A 14645-nucleotide genomic window follows, 5' to 3' on the forward strand; every position below is an offset into this window, starting at 1 on the left:
TCCCGAGTAGCTGGGATTACAGGTGCGTACCACCATGCCCAGCTAATTTTTGTATTTTTAGTAGAGACGGGGTTTCACCATGTTGACCAGGCTGGTGTTGAACTCCTGGCCTCGTGATCCATGTGCGTCGGCCTCCCAAAGTGCTGGGATTACAGGCCTGAGCCACCGCACCCGGCCTTCCTTAAAATTTTCTATGTAGATGATCATGTCGTCTACAAATAATGTGTTTCTTCCTTTGCAATCTGTGTATCTTCATTTTTTCTTGCCCAATTCCACTGACTAGTTTTTCCAATGTGAGATTGAATAGGAGTGGTGTGAGTAAGCATCCTCTTGCTCATGATCTTAGGGGAAAGCATTTGGTCTTTCTTCATGTAGTATAGATCAGATTGAGGAAATTTACTTATATTTTTAGTTTGCTAAGAATTATCATTATGAATAGATACTGAATTTTGTCATACTCTCTACATCTGTTAAGATGATAACAGAGTTTTCCTTTTTTAGTTAATGAAATAAATTTTGGTGATTTTCAAAATGTTGGAAAACCTTGCATTCCTGGGATAACTCACATTTGGTTGTGATGTATTATCCTTTTGCTAGGTTGCTGGATTGGATTTACTAATGTTTTGTTAAGGATTTTTGTGTCTATGTTCATGAAGGATATTAGTCTATAAATTTCTTGTCTCACATCTTTGTGTGGTTTTGATGTTAGGCTAATACTTCATTATAAAATGAGCTAGGATGTATTTTCTCTTTGATTTTCCGGAAAGGAAAAGTTTGTGTAAAATTGGCATTATTTCTACCTTAAGTGTTTGGCAGAATTCACCAGTAAAGCTGTCTTGGTCTGAAGTTGCCTTATTGGGAAGATTTTGAACTACAAGTTCAATTCATTTGATGGAGGTTATCTGTTTCTTTGTTAGTGAACTGTGCTAGTTTTTGTCTTTAAGGAAATTTGCCCATTTTATATTAAATGTTGTGACATAAAGTTGTTCAGAATATTTATTACCTTTTTAATTTCCATAGGATCTCTAGTGATTGCTTCCCTCCTCTTTTTATTCCTGATACCAGTTTTTTGAGTTTTGTCTTTTTTTCCCCTAAGACTGGCTAGATAATTTAACTGATCTTTTCAAAGAACCACATTTTGTTTTAATTGCTTTTCCATTTTCTTTTTTGTTAATTTTTCTCTTTATTAATTTCATTCCTCTACTTATTTTGTATTTATTTATTTTTTTTAAGAGCAGTCAAACAAAGCAGTGGGAGTCAAGAAGGAACAAAGAAATCTGTACTGGTTGTGAACAGTTAGTTATCAACAGCACTGCATTTGTACCAGCCTGTTTGTTATCAACAGCCTTGCATTTGTACCAGCTTGTTTTGGTTTCTTAAGGTGGAAGTTTACATCATTTTATTTGAGACCTTTCTTCTTTTCTAATTTGTTTAATTCTATACATTTCTTTTAAAATTTGCACCAATCACACAGGATCTATAAATCTCTGTCTAAGCATTCCTTTAGCTGCATCCCACAAATTCTGGTATGTTTTTCATTCTACTCAAAATATTTTATAATTGCCTTTATTATGATTTGTTCATTGACCCATGTTTTGTTCAGAAGTATGTTTTTATTTTATTTTATTTTATTTTTATTTTTGAGACGGAGCCTCACTCTGTCACCAGGCTGGAGTGCAGTGGTGCGATCTCGGCTCACTGCAACCTCTGCCTCCCGGGTTCAAGCAATTCTCCTGCCTCAGTCTCCCAAGTAGCTGGGACTACAGGCGTGCGCCACCACGCCCAGGTAATTTTTGTATTTTTTGTAGAGACAGGGTTTCACCATGTTGGCCAGGATGGTCTTGATCTCCTGACCTCGTGATCTGCCGTCCTCGGCCTCCGAAAGTGCTGGGATTACAGGCAAGAGCCACCATGCCCGGCCTATTTTATTTTTTTAGACAGAGTCTCAGTCTGTGCCCAGGCTGGAATGTAGTGGCGCGATCTCAGCTCACTGCAACCTCTGCCCGCTCTGGTTCAAGCGATTCTCCTGCCTCAGCCTTCTGAGTAGCTGGGATTACACATGCACGCCACCATGCCCGGCTAATGTTTGTATTTTAGTAGAGACAGTGTTGCCCAGGCTGGTCTCGAACTCCTGAGCTTGCGCAATCCGCCCGCCTCAGCCTCCCAAAGTGCTTGGGTTAAGGCTTGAGCCACCGCGCCCGGCCGAAACTTCTAAATGTAACTATGGATTGGTATATTTATTTCAATTTCTACTTTAGGTATTTTGAGCTCTGTTGTTATTTACCATTTAGCACTGTTATTTCTAATTGTTGAATTAATGCCACCACCATCATCATCAGCATCAGCATCTCCCTCTTTGTTGTTACTAATCCTTGTTGTGAAGCAAACTTTGTCTTATACTGAGAGCCACCTAGCCTTTTTTCATTAGTGTGTACATGGAATATGGCTTCCCAACCTTTCTTTTTAACCTGTCTTTATCATCTCTTGTAGCTTAGGAGCTCTTGCCTTTTTAAAGTCTAGTCTGACCTTCTCTGCTAATAATTGTAGTATTTACACTCTTTCCATTTAATGTAATTAGTGATCTGTTTGGGTTTAAACATACCATCTTGCATTTTTTCTCCTGTTTTTCCCATCTGTTATTTGTTACTCTTCTTTTAAATGAATTGAATTTTTTTTTTTTGAAACAGGGTCTCACTCTGTTGCCCAGGCTGGAGTGCAGTGGCGAGTGATCTCTGCTCACTGCAAGCTCCACCTTCCAGGTTCACGCCATTCTCCCACCTCAGCCTCCCAAGTAGCTGGGACCACAGGCACCCACCACCACACCCAGCTAATTTTGTTTTTGTATTTTTAGTAGAGACGGGGTTTCACCATGTTATTAGCCAGGATGGTCTTGATCTCCTGACCTCATGATCTGCCCGCCCTGGCCTCCCAAAGTGCTGGGGTTACAGGTGTGAGCCACCACGCCTGCCCAGTGAATTGAATATTTTAAGTGGCTGGGCGTGGTGGCTCTCGCCTGTAACCCCAGCACTTTGGGAGGCTGAGGCGGGCGGATTACCCAAGCTCAGGAGTTCGAGACCAGCTTGAGCAACACGAAGAAACCCCGTCTCTACTAAAATACAAACATTAGCCGGGTGTGGTGGCACATGCCTGTCATCCCAGCTACTCAGGAGGCTGAGGCTGGAGAATTGCTTGAACTCAGGAGGCGGAGGTTTCAGTGAGCTGAGATCGTGCCACTGCACTCGAGCCTGGGCGACAGAGCGAGACTCCATCTCCAAAAAAAAAAAAATTAAAAAAAAAAAAAAGAATATTTTTTGACCCATGTATTGGTCAGAAGTATGTTTTTATTATATATATATATATATATATATTTTTTTTTTTTTTTTTTTTTTGAGATGGAGTCTCACTCTGCTCCCAGGCTGGAGTGCAGTGGTGCCATCTCAGCTCACTGCAACCTCTGCCTCCCGAGTTCAAGCAATTCTCCTGCCTCAGCCTCCCAAGTAGCTGGGATTACAGGTGCCCACCACCGCACCTGGCTAATTTTTGTATTTTTAGTAGAGGCGGGGTTTCACCATCTTGGCCAGGCTGATCTCGATCTCCTGACCTCGTGATCCACCTGCCTCGCCTTCCCAAAGTGCTGGGATTACAGGCATGAGCCACCGCGTCTGGCCTATGAATATTTTAAACTCTTTCATTTTGTCTCCTGTTGACCTTACTACCTGTATTTCTTTTTCTTTGTTTTATAATTTTTTAGCTATAGCTTCCACTTTTCAGCCTCTACTCTCAAAGAATAGTATACCACTTCACATGTAGTGTAAGTACCTTACAGTAGTATACTTGGAGCGCCACCATTTCTGGTGCTAATGTAGTCGTGTGTTTTTCTTACATGTATTATACACCTCAGCATACATTGTCATTTTTTCCCTTTCTTTAAATAGCGAATTATCTTTTAAAAAGACCTTATAAATAAGTTCTTGACCCACATCTTTATCATGTGTGGTGCTCTCCATTCCTTTGTGTAGATCCACATTTTCATTTGGTATTATTTTCCCTGTCTCAAGAACTGCCTTTAACATTTCCTGTAGGCCAGGGTAGCTTCTGTTTGAAATCTTTTTTGCCTTTGTTTTAAAAAGATATTTCTGTTTGGAATTTGAGGTTGTTGGTCATTTCTTTCGTGGCCTCTCCAGTTTGTGATGAGAAACACGTTGTCGTCCTTATCTTTGCTCCTGCATATGTAAGGTGACTCGTTTTCCTCTCTGTGCTTCTGAGATTTGCACTTTGTCACTGGTTTTCAGCAGTTTGACTGTGATGGGCCTCAGCGTGCTTTGCTTTGTGTTTAGTGTGCTTTGGGTTAATTGAGCTTGCAGTGAGTGTGGGCTTACATAGTGTGAATTTATAGTTTCCTCAAATTTAGAAATATTTCAAGTATTTCTTCACGTAGTCCCCTTTTTTTCTGGGATGTTAGACATCTTGAGTTTGTCCTACAAATGCTTTGTCCATTTTTTCAGTCTTCTCTGTGCTTCATTTTGGATTTATTTATTTATTTATTTATTTAGAGACAGTCTTGCCCTGTCGCCCAGGCTGGAGTGCGATGGTGCGATCTCGGCTCACTACAACCTCTGCCTCCTGGGTTCAAGTGATTCTCCTGCCTCAGCATCCTGAGTAGCGGGGATTATAGGTGCCCGCCACCATGCCCGGCTTTTTTTTTTTTTTTTTTTTTGAGACGAAGTTTTGCTCTTGTTGCCCAGGCTGAAGTGCAATGGTGTGATCTCGTCTCACTGCAACCTCCTCCTCCTGGGTTCAAGTGATTCTCCTGCCCCAGCCTCCTGAGTAGCTGGGATTACAGGCGTGTGCCATCACACCTGGCTAATTTTGTATTTTTAGAAGGGACAAGGTTGCTCCATGTTGGTCAGGCTGGTCTCGAGCTCCTGACCTCAGGTGATCTGCCCACCCTCGGCCTCCCAAAGTGTTGCGATTACAGGTGTGAGCCACTGCGCCTGGCCAATTTTTGTATTTTTTTGTAGAGGTGGGGTTTCACCATGTTGGTCAGACTGGTCTCGAACTCCTGACCTCAGGTGATCCACCTGCCTTGGCCTCCCAAAATGCTGGGATTATAGGCGTGAGCCATCGCGTCTGGGCTGGATTATTTTTATTGCCTGTGTTCAGGTTTATTGGTATTCTGATCTGCTTAATCTGCCAAGTGTGTTTAGTGTATTTTTTTCTTTTATGTCTTATTTCTCAGCTCTGGAAGTTTCATTTGGTTTATTTATTTATTGACATCTTCAGTTTCTCTTCCCATCGTGTTTATTTTTCCTCTGTTTCTTGAACATATGGAGTTTCTTTATAATTGCCAATTTCAGATTCTTGACAGTTGTATCATCTCTATTTTTGGGGAGATCTGTTTCTTTTTTTCTTTTTTATTTTTTTGAGACGGAGTCCTCAGTGTGTCACCCAGGCTGGACTGCAGTGGTGTAATCTCGGCTCACTGCAACCTCCGCCTCCTGGGTTCAAACGATTCTCCTGCTTCAGCCTCCTGAGTAGCTGGGATTACAGGCACGTGCCACCATGCTAATTTTTGTATTTTTGTATTTTTAGTAGAGCTAAAAATACTAATTTTTGTATTTTTAGTAGAGGTGGGGTAATTTTTGTATTTTTAGTAGAGATGGGGTTTCCTCATGTTGGCCAGGCTGCTCTCGAATTCCTGACCTCAGGTGGTCCCGCCCGCCTCTGCCTCCCAAAGTGCTGGGATAATAGGCGTGAGCCACCGTGGCTGGACTGGGGAATTTCTTTCTTTCTTTCTTTTATTGTTTTGAGACAATGTCTCTCTCTGTCACCCAGGCTGGAGTGCAGTGGCACGATCTAGTCTCACTGCAACCTCCCCTCCCCTTCCTCGGTTCAAACAATTCTCCTGCCTCAACCTCTCGAGTGGCTGGGATTGCAGGCTTGTGCCTCCATGCCTGGCTACATTTTGTATTTTTAGTAGAGTTGGGATTTTGCCATCTTGGTGAGGCTGGTCTCGAACACCTGACCTCAAGTGATCCACTCGCCTCATCCTCTGAAAGTGCTGGGATTACAAGCGTGAGCCACTGCACCTGGCCTGGGGGATCTGTTTCTATTGATTGGCTTTTCCTCCTTCTTAGGAGTCATTGTCCTGCTTTTGGTTTCGTTACTGGATGCTGGACATTGTGAATTTTACATTGTTAATTGCTGGATTTTGTTATTTTTCTTTTAAATTGTGTTAGACTTGGGTGAAACATGACTGAGGTTAAATCTGTATATGATGAGTGCTATAATGGGACACATTTAAGGATTTAATATGTAGTCATCATGTACCCTATTTTAAGACTTACTTTCATGTCTTGTCTCCAGGAAATGTTGCTTTCCCAAGTTCTTGATTGCTTTTCTGAGTGTACTGCGTTCCAGCCATGATGATAGGCACTGATGTACCATAGTGAGCAAGTAGATAGGTTCTGGCTCTCATGAACCATGAATTCCAGTGTTGAAGACACATAAAAAAACAAGAACACAGTAGAACACCAGGATTTCAGATAGCAGTTTAATAGAGGAGATTAACTGGGGTGTTTAGGTTGATGGGTAAGCTAGAGCTCAGGAGATGGGCACCGCGCTCATAATCAGAACAAACACATTTTTAACATAAAGAATAATTAGCAAGTGGCAGGGTGTGTGGCTCATGCCTGTAATCCAGCACTCTGGGAGGCTGAGGCAGGCGGGATCGCCTGAGGTCAGGAGTTGGGAGACCAGCCTTGTCAACGTGGTGTAACCCCGTCTCTACTAAAAATACAAAAATTAGCCAGGGGTGGTGGTGGGCTCCCGTAATCCCAGCTACTCAGGAGAATCGTTTGAACCCAGGAGGCGGAGTTTGCAGTGAGCCGATATCACAGCATTGCACTCCAGCCTGGGCAAGAAGACTGCAACTCCGTCTCAAAAAAAAAAAAAAAAAAAAAAGTAATTAACAAGTAGCGACAGGTCAGCCACCCAGATCCGTGAAGTGAATGCTAAAGAATATGGCCGGGGCAGATTTAGGGAGCAGCCACTAACGGGAGCTTAGGGAGGGGACTCAAGAAAGGAACAAACTTGGAAGAGGCCCTGACATGGAGGGGGTGTCATTATGCCCCACTGGGTAGCAGAGAGGCTCCCTGAGGTCCTGCAGGCTGGGACTGAGTGCTGGAGAGTGCGTGCCTCTCAGTCCCCCACACACCACTGATGAGGAGCTGCCTCAGGGTAAGAGCAAGATGAGAAAAGCACAGGAACCTGGAGGGAGACCCCTTCTTCTTCACCGTCCCTGTAGTACCCTCCACCCATAGGACCACACATTGTACCTACCTGCTGGCAGAGGAGAAATGTTTACAGGGTGCAGCTCCTTCATTGTAAGTGTGGCGAAGAAGGGTGGATTTGGAGTTGAGAGGCAAAAAAATTAATTGACTCAACCAGCCTCCCTCAGTAGGTGATCTTTTTGCTGAGGCCTGATGGGACAGTATTCTACAGTCTACCAGAAGCCAATCAGAGGCTCACTGACTAAGGGTACGAGGCAAAGGGAGCAAGGGCAGTGACTTAAAAGCAGAACTTTGACCTGAGCAACCTTGAAAGCTGTGGTAAGAAATACGGTGTTTGCTCCTAAGTGAAGTGGAGGAGAACAGAGGTTTTATGTAGGGAGCTCTGTGATCTCACTCTGCTGCTGCTTGGAGAATGGATGATTAGTACATACGGAAATAGGTGTGCCACTAGAGAGAGCCAGTGCAGCTGTGCAGGCAAGAGGTAGGTGATGATGGCTTAGACTGGGTTGGAAGCAGCGGAGGAAGAATGGGTGGATTGTGGAGGTGCTTAGGATTGAGGTGGAGTGGACAACTTTGCTGTTAGATGGGCGTGGGATGGAGGAGAGCGTGAACCTCGCTTGTTGAAGGGAACGGACTCGCTTAGGGAACAGCCTCTTCTACCACTGCCCTCTCCTTGCCCTACCATGCCTCTTCAGTCAGAACTCCATGGCCTTCCAGCCACTTTTGGTATTGGAATAACCACATTTTCAGGTACTCAGGTCCAGTCTACATAAAAACCTAAATGTGGCTTAGTGTGGTGGCTCACGCCTGTAATCCCAGCACTTTGGGAAATGAAGGTGGGCGGATCACTTGAGCTCAGGAGTTTGAGACCAGCCTGAGCAACATGGCGAAGCCCTGTGTCTACCAAAAATACGAAAAATTAAGCCAGGTGTGGTGGCGCATGCCTTTGGTCCCAGCTACTCAGGAGGCTGAGGTGAGACGATTGCTTGAGCCTGGGAGGCGGAGGTTGCAGTGAGCTGAGATTGCACCACTGCACTCCAGCCTGGGTGATAGAGCGAGACCCTGTCTCCAAAAAAAAAAAAAAAAAAAAAAAAAACCTAAATGTCTCATCTAATTAATTCAAAGCCTCTTCCCCTCATGTTAAGTGATGGCAGGAGTCCCCAAGGGCAGAGGGCGGTGGTGTATGTCCTGCTTCCTTATGCCTGTCCTGTTCCTCCAGGATGGAGAAGGGGCACTGGAGCGGAGACTTGGGGGTCTTTGTTCTCTGCTGGGTTGTCTAGGTTCTTTTTGGCCCACTAGCGCTAGGCCTGTGGTCCTAATGGGTGGCCCAGTGGTTGCTGGCTCTTTCTTGTTGGTGGCGGGGGTGCTGCTTTAGCATGCTCAGGCTGCTGCAACAAAATGCCATGGGCTAAGCTGCTTGTAAACAGCGGACATTTATATCTTATAGTCTGGAGGGCTGGAAGGTCTAAGATCAAGGTGCTGGCAGATTGGTGCCTGGGAAGGGCCAAGCTTTGGTTCATAGCTGGTGCCCTCTCTCTGTCCTCGTGCGGTGGAAGGATGTGGCAGCTCTCTGGGGCCTTCTTTATAAAAGGACACTAATTCCATTCACGAAGACTCCGACCTCATGACCTAATCACCACCTAAAGGCCCTACTTCCTGATACATTACCTTAGGGGTTAAAATTTCAACTTATGAACGGGGGCGGGCGGGGGCACAAACATTCAGAACAGAGCAAAACATTCAGACCTTTGGGCACTTCTGAGACCTTGGTAGGGACTTCGTGCTGGACTGTCTAGTGGAAACTGTGTGACACAACCAGCCTGCCCCCAACCCCCTACCACTGCTGTCCCGCACTCTGCCCCCCTTCCCTCATGGTGTAATTCTGGGGTCTGCTTCCCCAGCAGGACCTATTTGGGGTGGGATTCTTTCAGGATGACACAAGCTCTTACCCTCCTGTGTGCTGGCGGCAGCTGAGCTGGGTCCCCTGCTGTCTTTTTTTTTTGAGACGGAGTCTTGCTTTGTCACCAGGCTGGAGTGCGGTGGCGCGATCTCGGCTCACTGCAAGCTCTGCCTTCGGGTTCAAGCAATTCTCCTGCCTCAGCCTCCCGAGTAGCTGGGACTACAGGCGAGCGCCACCACACCCAGCTAATTTTTGTGCTTTTTTAGTAGAGACAGGGTTTCACCATGTTGGCCAGAAGGGTCTCGATCTCTTGACCTCGTGATCTGCCCGCCTTGGCCTCCCAAAGTGCTGGGATTACAGGCGTGAGCCACCGCGCCTGGCCGGTCCCCTGCTGTCTTAATCCTCTGCCCACTTAGCAACGCTCAGGCTTTTCTGCTGCAGGGTCTTACCTGCAAGGCCTGCACCAGTGTCTGTGTGACCCAACTCCACAGCACCTGCCACAGGCCCTTGGGAGTTTCCTTGTGCTTGGCTCAGCAGCAGACTGGGGTAGTGCAAGCATCTGAACAGACCTTGCCAAGTCCAGCCCAGGGTGAGCCCCAGGCTCCTTGCCACAGGCCACCACCCGTCTCTCTGGGGGCTTGTCTCAGTGGCTTCATGCTTGACTGGGGGAGGGGTTGGTGAGGAGAGCACACTTTTCCTTGTGGGGACCAGAGTGGGAATAGTGCAATACTCAAGACTTAGGTGAATTCCTTTCTGGAAGTCTCTCTTGTGACTGTATTTCTTTTCCTCATGCTGTGGGGGTCAGGGGGATGCAATGATTATGGAGCTGGCAGCCCCTGTCATGAGCCTGGGGAAGGCTCTCTAGCACCCTGCATCACCCTGTGGGCACCCTCAGCTCTGAGACCTGAGCCCTGAGCCCCTGTTCCCAAGGAGCAGAGTCCTTCTCAGGGCCTCTTCTAGAAGGAGCCTTGGTGCCGATGGAAGGGTAACTGAGCGGGAGGAGGAACCTAGGGTTGTGTTGTGTTCTCTAGTTGTTGTTGGTGAAATCCTTTTGGCGTGGGACATAGGAAGGTCTTTGCCCAATGTTCTCTCTCTCTTTTTTTTTTTGAGACAAAGTCTCGGTCTGTTTCTCAGGCTGGAGTGCGGTGGCGCGATCTCGGCTCACTGCAACCTCAGCCTCCCGAGTAGTTGAGATTACAGGCGTGCCCCACCATGCCTGGCTAATTTTTGTGTATTTAGAAGAGACGGATTTCACCGTGTGGGTCAGGCTGGTCTTGAACTCCTGACCTCAGGTGATCCGCCTGCCTCGGCCTCCCAAAGTGCTGGGATTATAGGCGTGAGCCACTGCCCCCGGCCAAGTGTTCTCTTTCTTAAGCCTCCTTGTTCCTCAGAGCAGGCAGTGCAGGCTATGGGATTCCCCAGGACGGAGAGGCCTCTGCCCCGGCTGCTTGATGCAAGGCTCAGAGAGGCCACTAGGTTTCTACCATGTGCTGTCTCAGGCAACCGTGGGCATATCACTTTCCAGAGGTGCCCACTGAGGTGGTCATTGTGTGTGCTGATTAGGACAGTGGGAGTAAAACTGTTCCTTTTTAAATTTAATATAAATTAATTTTTAAACTTTTTAAAAAAATTTATATAGAGATGAGGTCTTGCTGTGTTACCCAGGCTGGTCTCAAACGTCTGGGCTCAAGTGGTCCTCCCATCTCGGCTTCCCAAAATGGTGGGATTACAGGCGTGAACCGCCATGCCCAGCCGAATTGTTTCCTTTTTGTATGTATGTGTGTGTCTGTGTGACAATGTCTCTGTCACCCAGACAGGAGTGCAGTGGGGCATGATCACGGCTGACTATAGCCTCAACTTCCCAGGCTCAAGTGATCCTGTCACCTCAGCCTCCTGGGTAGCTGGGACTACAGGCGGGCACCAACACGCCCGGCCTATTTTTTGTATTTCTTGTAGCAGTGGTGTTTCACCATGTTGCCCAGCGATCCACCCACCTCAGACTCCCAAAGTGCTGAGATTACAAGTGTGAGCCACTGTATCTGGCCAAGATAGTTTCTTTTCAATGTTTAGGTTTTACAGTTTTTTAAAAGGCATTTTTCCTGAACAGTTAATAAAAAATTGATGCCGTGAACATTTTAACATAACTGGTCTATTCTGTTCTCTTTTTAAAACAGAGCCAAGATTTTCTTCTTCACTCCTCGCTTGGTGGCTCCCAGCCAGAGGCCGGCAGTGGTGGGAGGCTCGCTCTGGGTGCACAGACGCTGCCTTCAGACACCGCATGCTCGTGCGAGGCCTGCAGTGAGCGCAGGTATGTGACGTGTGTGCCACGTTGCTCACACCTGTCCACAATGACATGCAGACCTGCATATTGGAGCTGGACGGAGAAACTGGGCTAATGTGACAGACAGCAACAAGAGTAAGGCAGTTGCTTCGCTATTGAGAGAAAGAACCATATGAGTAAGACAAAAACTGTTGCTCTTGAGGAACTGGCACTAGGAAGCATCCTCAGAACAAGAGAAGGAGTCCTTAAATAATCAGAATCTAAGAGCAGCCTCAGTGAATGAGAGGAGCGATGGGGGAGAGCCTGACTGGCTGCTTCTCAGTGGCTGAGGGGAGAGCCCTGGAGCTCATCTTTTTTTTTTTTTTTTTTTTTTTTTGAGACAGGGTCTGGCTCTGTCCCCCAGGCCGGAGGGCAGTGGCGTGATCTCCGCTCACCACAACCTCCGCCTTCCAGGCTCAAGTGATCCTCCCACCTCAGTCCCGGTATCTGGGACTACAGGCGCGCACCACCATGTCGGGCTAATTTTTGTATATTTTATAGAGATGGGGCTTCGCCATGTTGCCCAGGCTGGTCTCAAACTCCTGGACTCAAACGATTAGCCCGTCTTCACCTCCCAGAGTGCTGGGATTACAGGCATGAGCCACCATGCCCAGCCCAGGAGCACATCTAAAAATGCTCTGTGCTCTGGCTCAGGAAGGAATGCATGTAGCCAAGTGGGGGCCAAAGGGTGGGGGCAAAGCTGCCCATTAAGTACCTTGGAGGTGAAGGCCAGGTCAGCAGTGGGGATGTGGGTACCCTAATTGTGGACATTAGCCACAGATGCTCCTGTCATCTGTGCAGTGGCTAAGATCTTACGCAGAGTGCACCCTAGGAGCTGTGCTGGGGATGCCATCACCCCCCTGCACTGACAGCAGCCTGATTGCCGGCTCCTGGGAGCTGGGCAAGGTGCAAGAGCCTGGGAGGTCCTCTGAGGACAGTGTGCTAGGTGAGGAAGGGCAGCAGATTGTGGTGACTTTCTAACCTTCCTGTGTTGTCTCACAGAGAAATTTCGGCAGAGGCGGACCGGGAACCTCAGCAGCTGCAGAACTACTGGTCAGAAGTGCGCTACACGGTGCGCTGCATCTACCGCCAGGCAGGAACCCCGCTGGCAGATGACCAGGACCAGTCTCTGGTGCCTGACAAGGAGGGAGTGAAGGAGCTCGTGGATAGGTACATACTGCCCTTTCCTGTTGTGGCCCCATGCAAACCCCTGCCCTCCCTGCTGCACTTGGAGCCACTCCTTTCAGGATGGGCTTTCCTTACAGTGCTCAGCTGGGTTTGCTTAGCCTTTGGTGCCTGTCAAGACTGCAGCAGATGAACTGGCAAAAGTGAGCCCCCTAGGTCAAACGTCTTGAATTTTTCTGATTTTGATGAAACGCTATTGCCTGTATAATTACACAAGAAATGTTTCTGTCACTTGTTTGTGTGAAGACTGATAATAATACCTTCCTTTTTGAGTCCCCCTGTGCCAGGGATGATGCAGAGTACTTTTACAAGCACTCTTGCCTTTATCAACCCAAGGAGAAAGGCCGAGTTAGCCCATTTATGAAGTGAAAAAATGGGGGCTCTGTGAGGTTGGGTAGCTTGTGTATGTGCCTGTGGTTCATGAGGCCAAGACAGCTGAGGCGTGCCTGGCCGTGTGGCTGTTTCTCATGATGCCGCAGCCGTTCTTCAGCAGATACCTTATGCTCAGTAACCACACAGAATTTGAGGTGGCCATAATTTTTATTCTTCCTTATAGTTTGATGTAACTTTTTTTTTTTTTTTTTTTGAGATGGAGTCTTGCTCTGTCAGCCAGGCTGTAGTCCAATGGCGTGATCTTGGCTCACTGCAACCCCTGCCTCCCGCATTCAAGCTGTTCTTATGTCTCAGCCTCCAGAGTAGCTGGGATTACAGGTGCCCACCACTGTGCCCGGCTAATTTTTGTATTTTTAATAGAGATGGGGTTTCACCATGTTGGTCAGGTTGGTCTCTAACATAATCCACCTGCCTTGACCTCCCAAAGTGCTGGGATTACAGGCGTGAGCCACTGCGTCCGGCAACATAACATATTTTTATGTTTTTTGAAATGTTTCAAATGAAAGCAACTTATTTGAGATGGCCATTTCATGGGTTGATTCTCATTTGGGTTTCTTTCTCACATTTTGAATGCAGCACATTTGGGAGGCTTTTTTTTTTTTTTTTTTTTCAGATGGAGTCTCACTCTGTCGCCCAGGCTGATGTGCAGTGGTGTAATCTCAGCTCACTGCAACCTCTGCTGCCTGAGTTCAAGTGATTCTCCTGCCTCAGCCTCCTGAGTAGCTGGGATTACAGGCGCCTGCCACTGTGCCCAGCTAATTTTTTTTTTTTTTTTGAGACGATGTCTCGCTCTGTCGCCCAGGCTGGAGTGCAGTGGCGCAATCTGGGCTCACTGCAAGCTCTGCCTCCTGGGTTCACGCCGTTCTCCTGCCTCAGCCTGCCGAGTAGCTGGGACTACAGGCACCCACTACCACGCCCAGCTAATTTTTTGTATTTTTAGTAGAGATGGGGTTTCACCATGTTAGCCAGGATGGTCTTGATCTCCTGACGTTGTGATCTGCCCGCCTCGGCCTCCCAAAGTGCTGAGATTACAGGTGTGAGCCACCACACCCGGCTGCGCCCAGCTAATTTTTGTATTTTTAGTAGAGACAGGGTTCATCATCTTGGCCAGGCTGGCCTTGAACTCCTGACCTTGTGATCCACCTGCCTCAGCCTCCCAAAGTGTTGGGATTACAGGCGTGAGCCACCGCGCCCCGCCGGGAGTTTTATAAACTGATGTTTGCTGTGCAGTAGATTCTTTCCTGGAGGCAGGGATAGTGATTAGCCATAGATTAGGTTAACTCATTGAATTCAGCCAAGTATTTTCAGGGTTTGACCTGTGAGCCACTGGTATTGCATGAGGTCCCTCTCTGTGGTATGTGCTTTTATTAGAAGTTAGGTTTCCAGCCAAGCGTGGTGGCTCACACCTGTAATCCCAGCACTTCGGGAGGATTGCTTGGGCCCAAGAGTTCAAGACTAGCCTGGGCAACATAGTGACTTGTCTCTACACAAAATAAAAAAAATTAGCCAGGTGTGATGAAGCACACTTGTGGTCCCGGTTGCTTGGGAGGCTGAG

General features: G+C 47.2%; 1 protein-coding gene across 13 annotated transcripts in view, besides 2 other annotated features; it reads left to right on the forward strand.

Moving 5' to 3' along the window:
* Nucleotides 1-14645, forward strand: part of FAM193A (family with sequence similarity 193 member A) — a 197199-nt gene that overhangs the window by 78521 nt on the left and 104033 nt on the right. For 7 of the 13 annotated variants that reach the window (NM_001366316.2, XM_047416341.1, XM_011513590.3 and 4 more), the window contains exons 3-4: nucleotides 11367-11500; nucleotides 12515-12682. In NM_001366316.2, coding sequence (NP_001353245.1) covers nucleotides 11367-11500; nucleotides 12515-12682 — 302 coding nt within the window. Of the gene's footprint in view, nucleotides 1-11366; nucleotides 11501-11536; nucleotides 11650-12514; nucleotides 12683-14645 lie in introns of those variants that run through there. The other 6 variants (NR_046336.2, NR_046335.2, NM_001256667.2 and 3 more) reach the window with 1 other exon arrangement.
* Nucleotides 4399-4900: an enhancer, noted in NCBI's record as "H3K4me1 hESC enhancer chr4:2620021-2620522 (GRCh37/hg19 assembly coordinates)". NCBI's record gives its function as "activates a minimal SCP1, AML or CMV promoter by ChIP-STARR-seq in naive H9 embryonic stem cells {active_cell/tissue: H9 hESC(naive)}" and the evidence as "EXISTENCE:reporter gene assay evidence [ECO:0000049][PMID:30033119]".
* Nucleotides 9819-10613: an enhancer, noted in NCBI's record as "H3K27ac-H3K4me1 hESC enhancer chr4:2625441-2626235 (GRCh37/hg19 assembly coordinates)". NCBI's record gives its function as "activates a minimal SCP1, AML or CMV promoter by ChIP-STARR-seq in primed H9 embryonic stem cells {active_cell/tissue: H9 hESC(primed)}" and the evidence as "EXISTENCE:reporter gene assay evidence [ECO:0000049][PMID:30033119]".

The sequence above is a fragment of the Homo sapiens genome, chromosome 4 (assembly GCF_000001405.40).
Source record: "Homo sapiens chromosome 4, GRCh38.p14 Primary Assembly".
In the NCBI taxonomy this organism is placed as follows: Eukaryota; Metazoa; Chordata; class Mammalia; order Primates; family Hominidae; genus Homo; species Homo sapiens.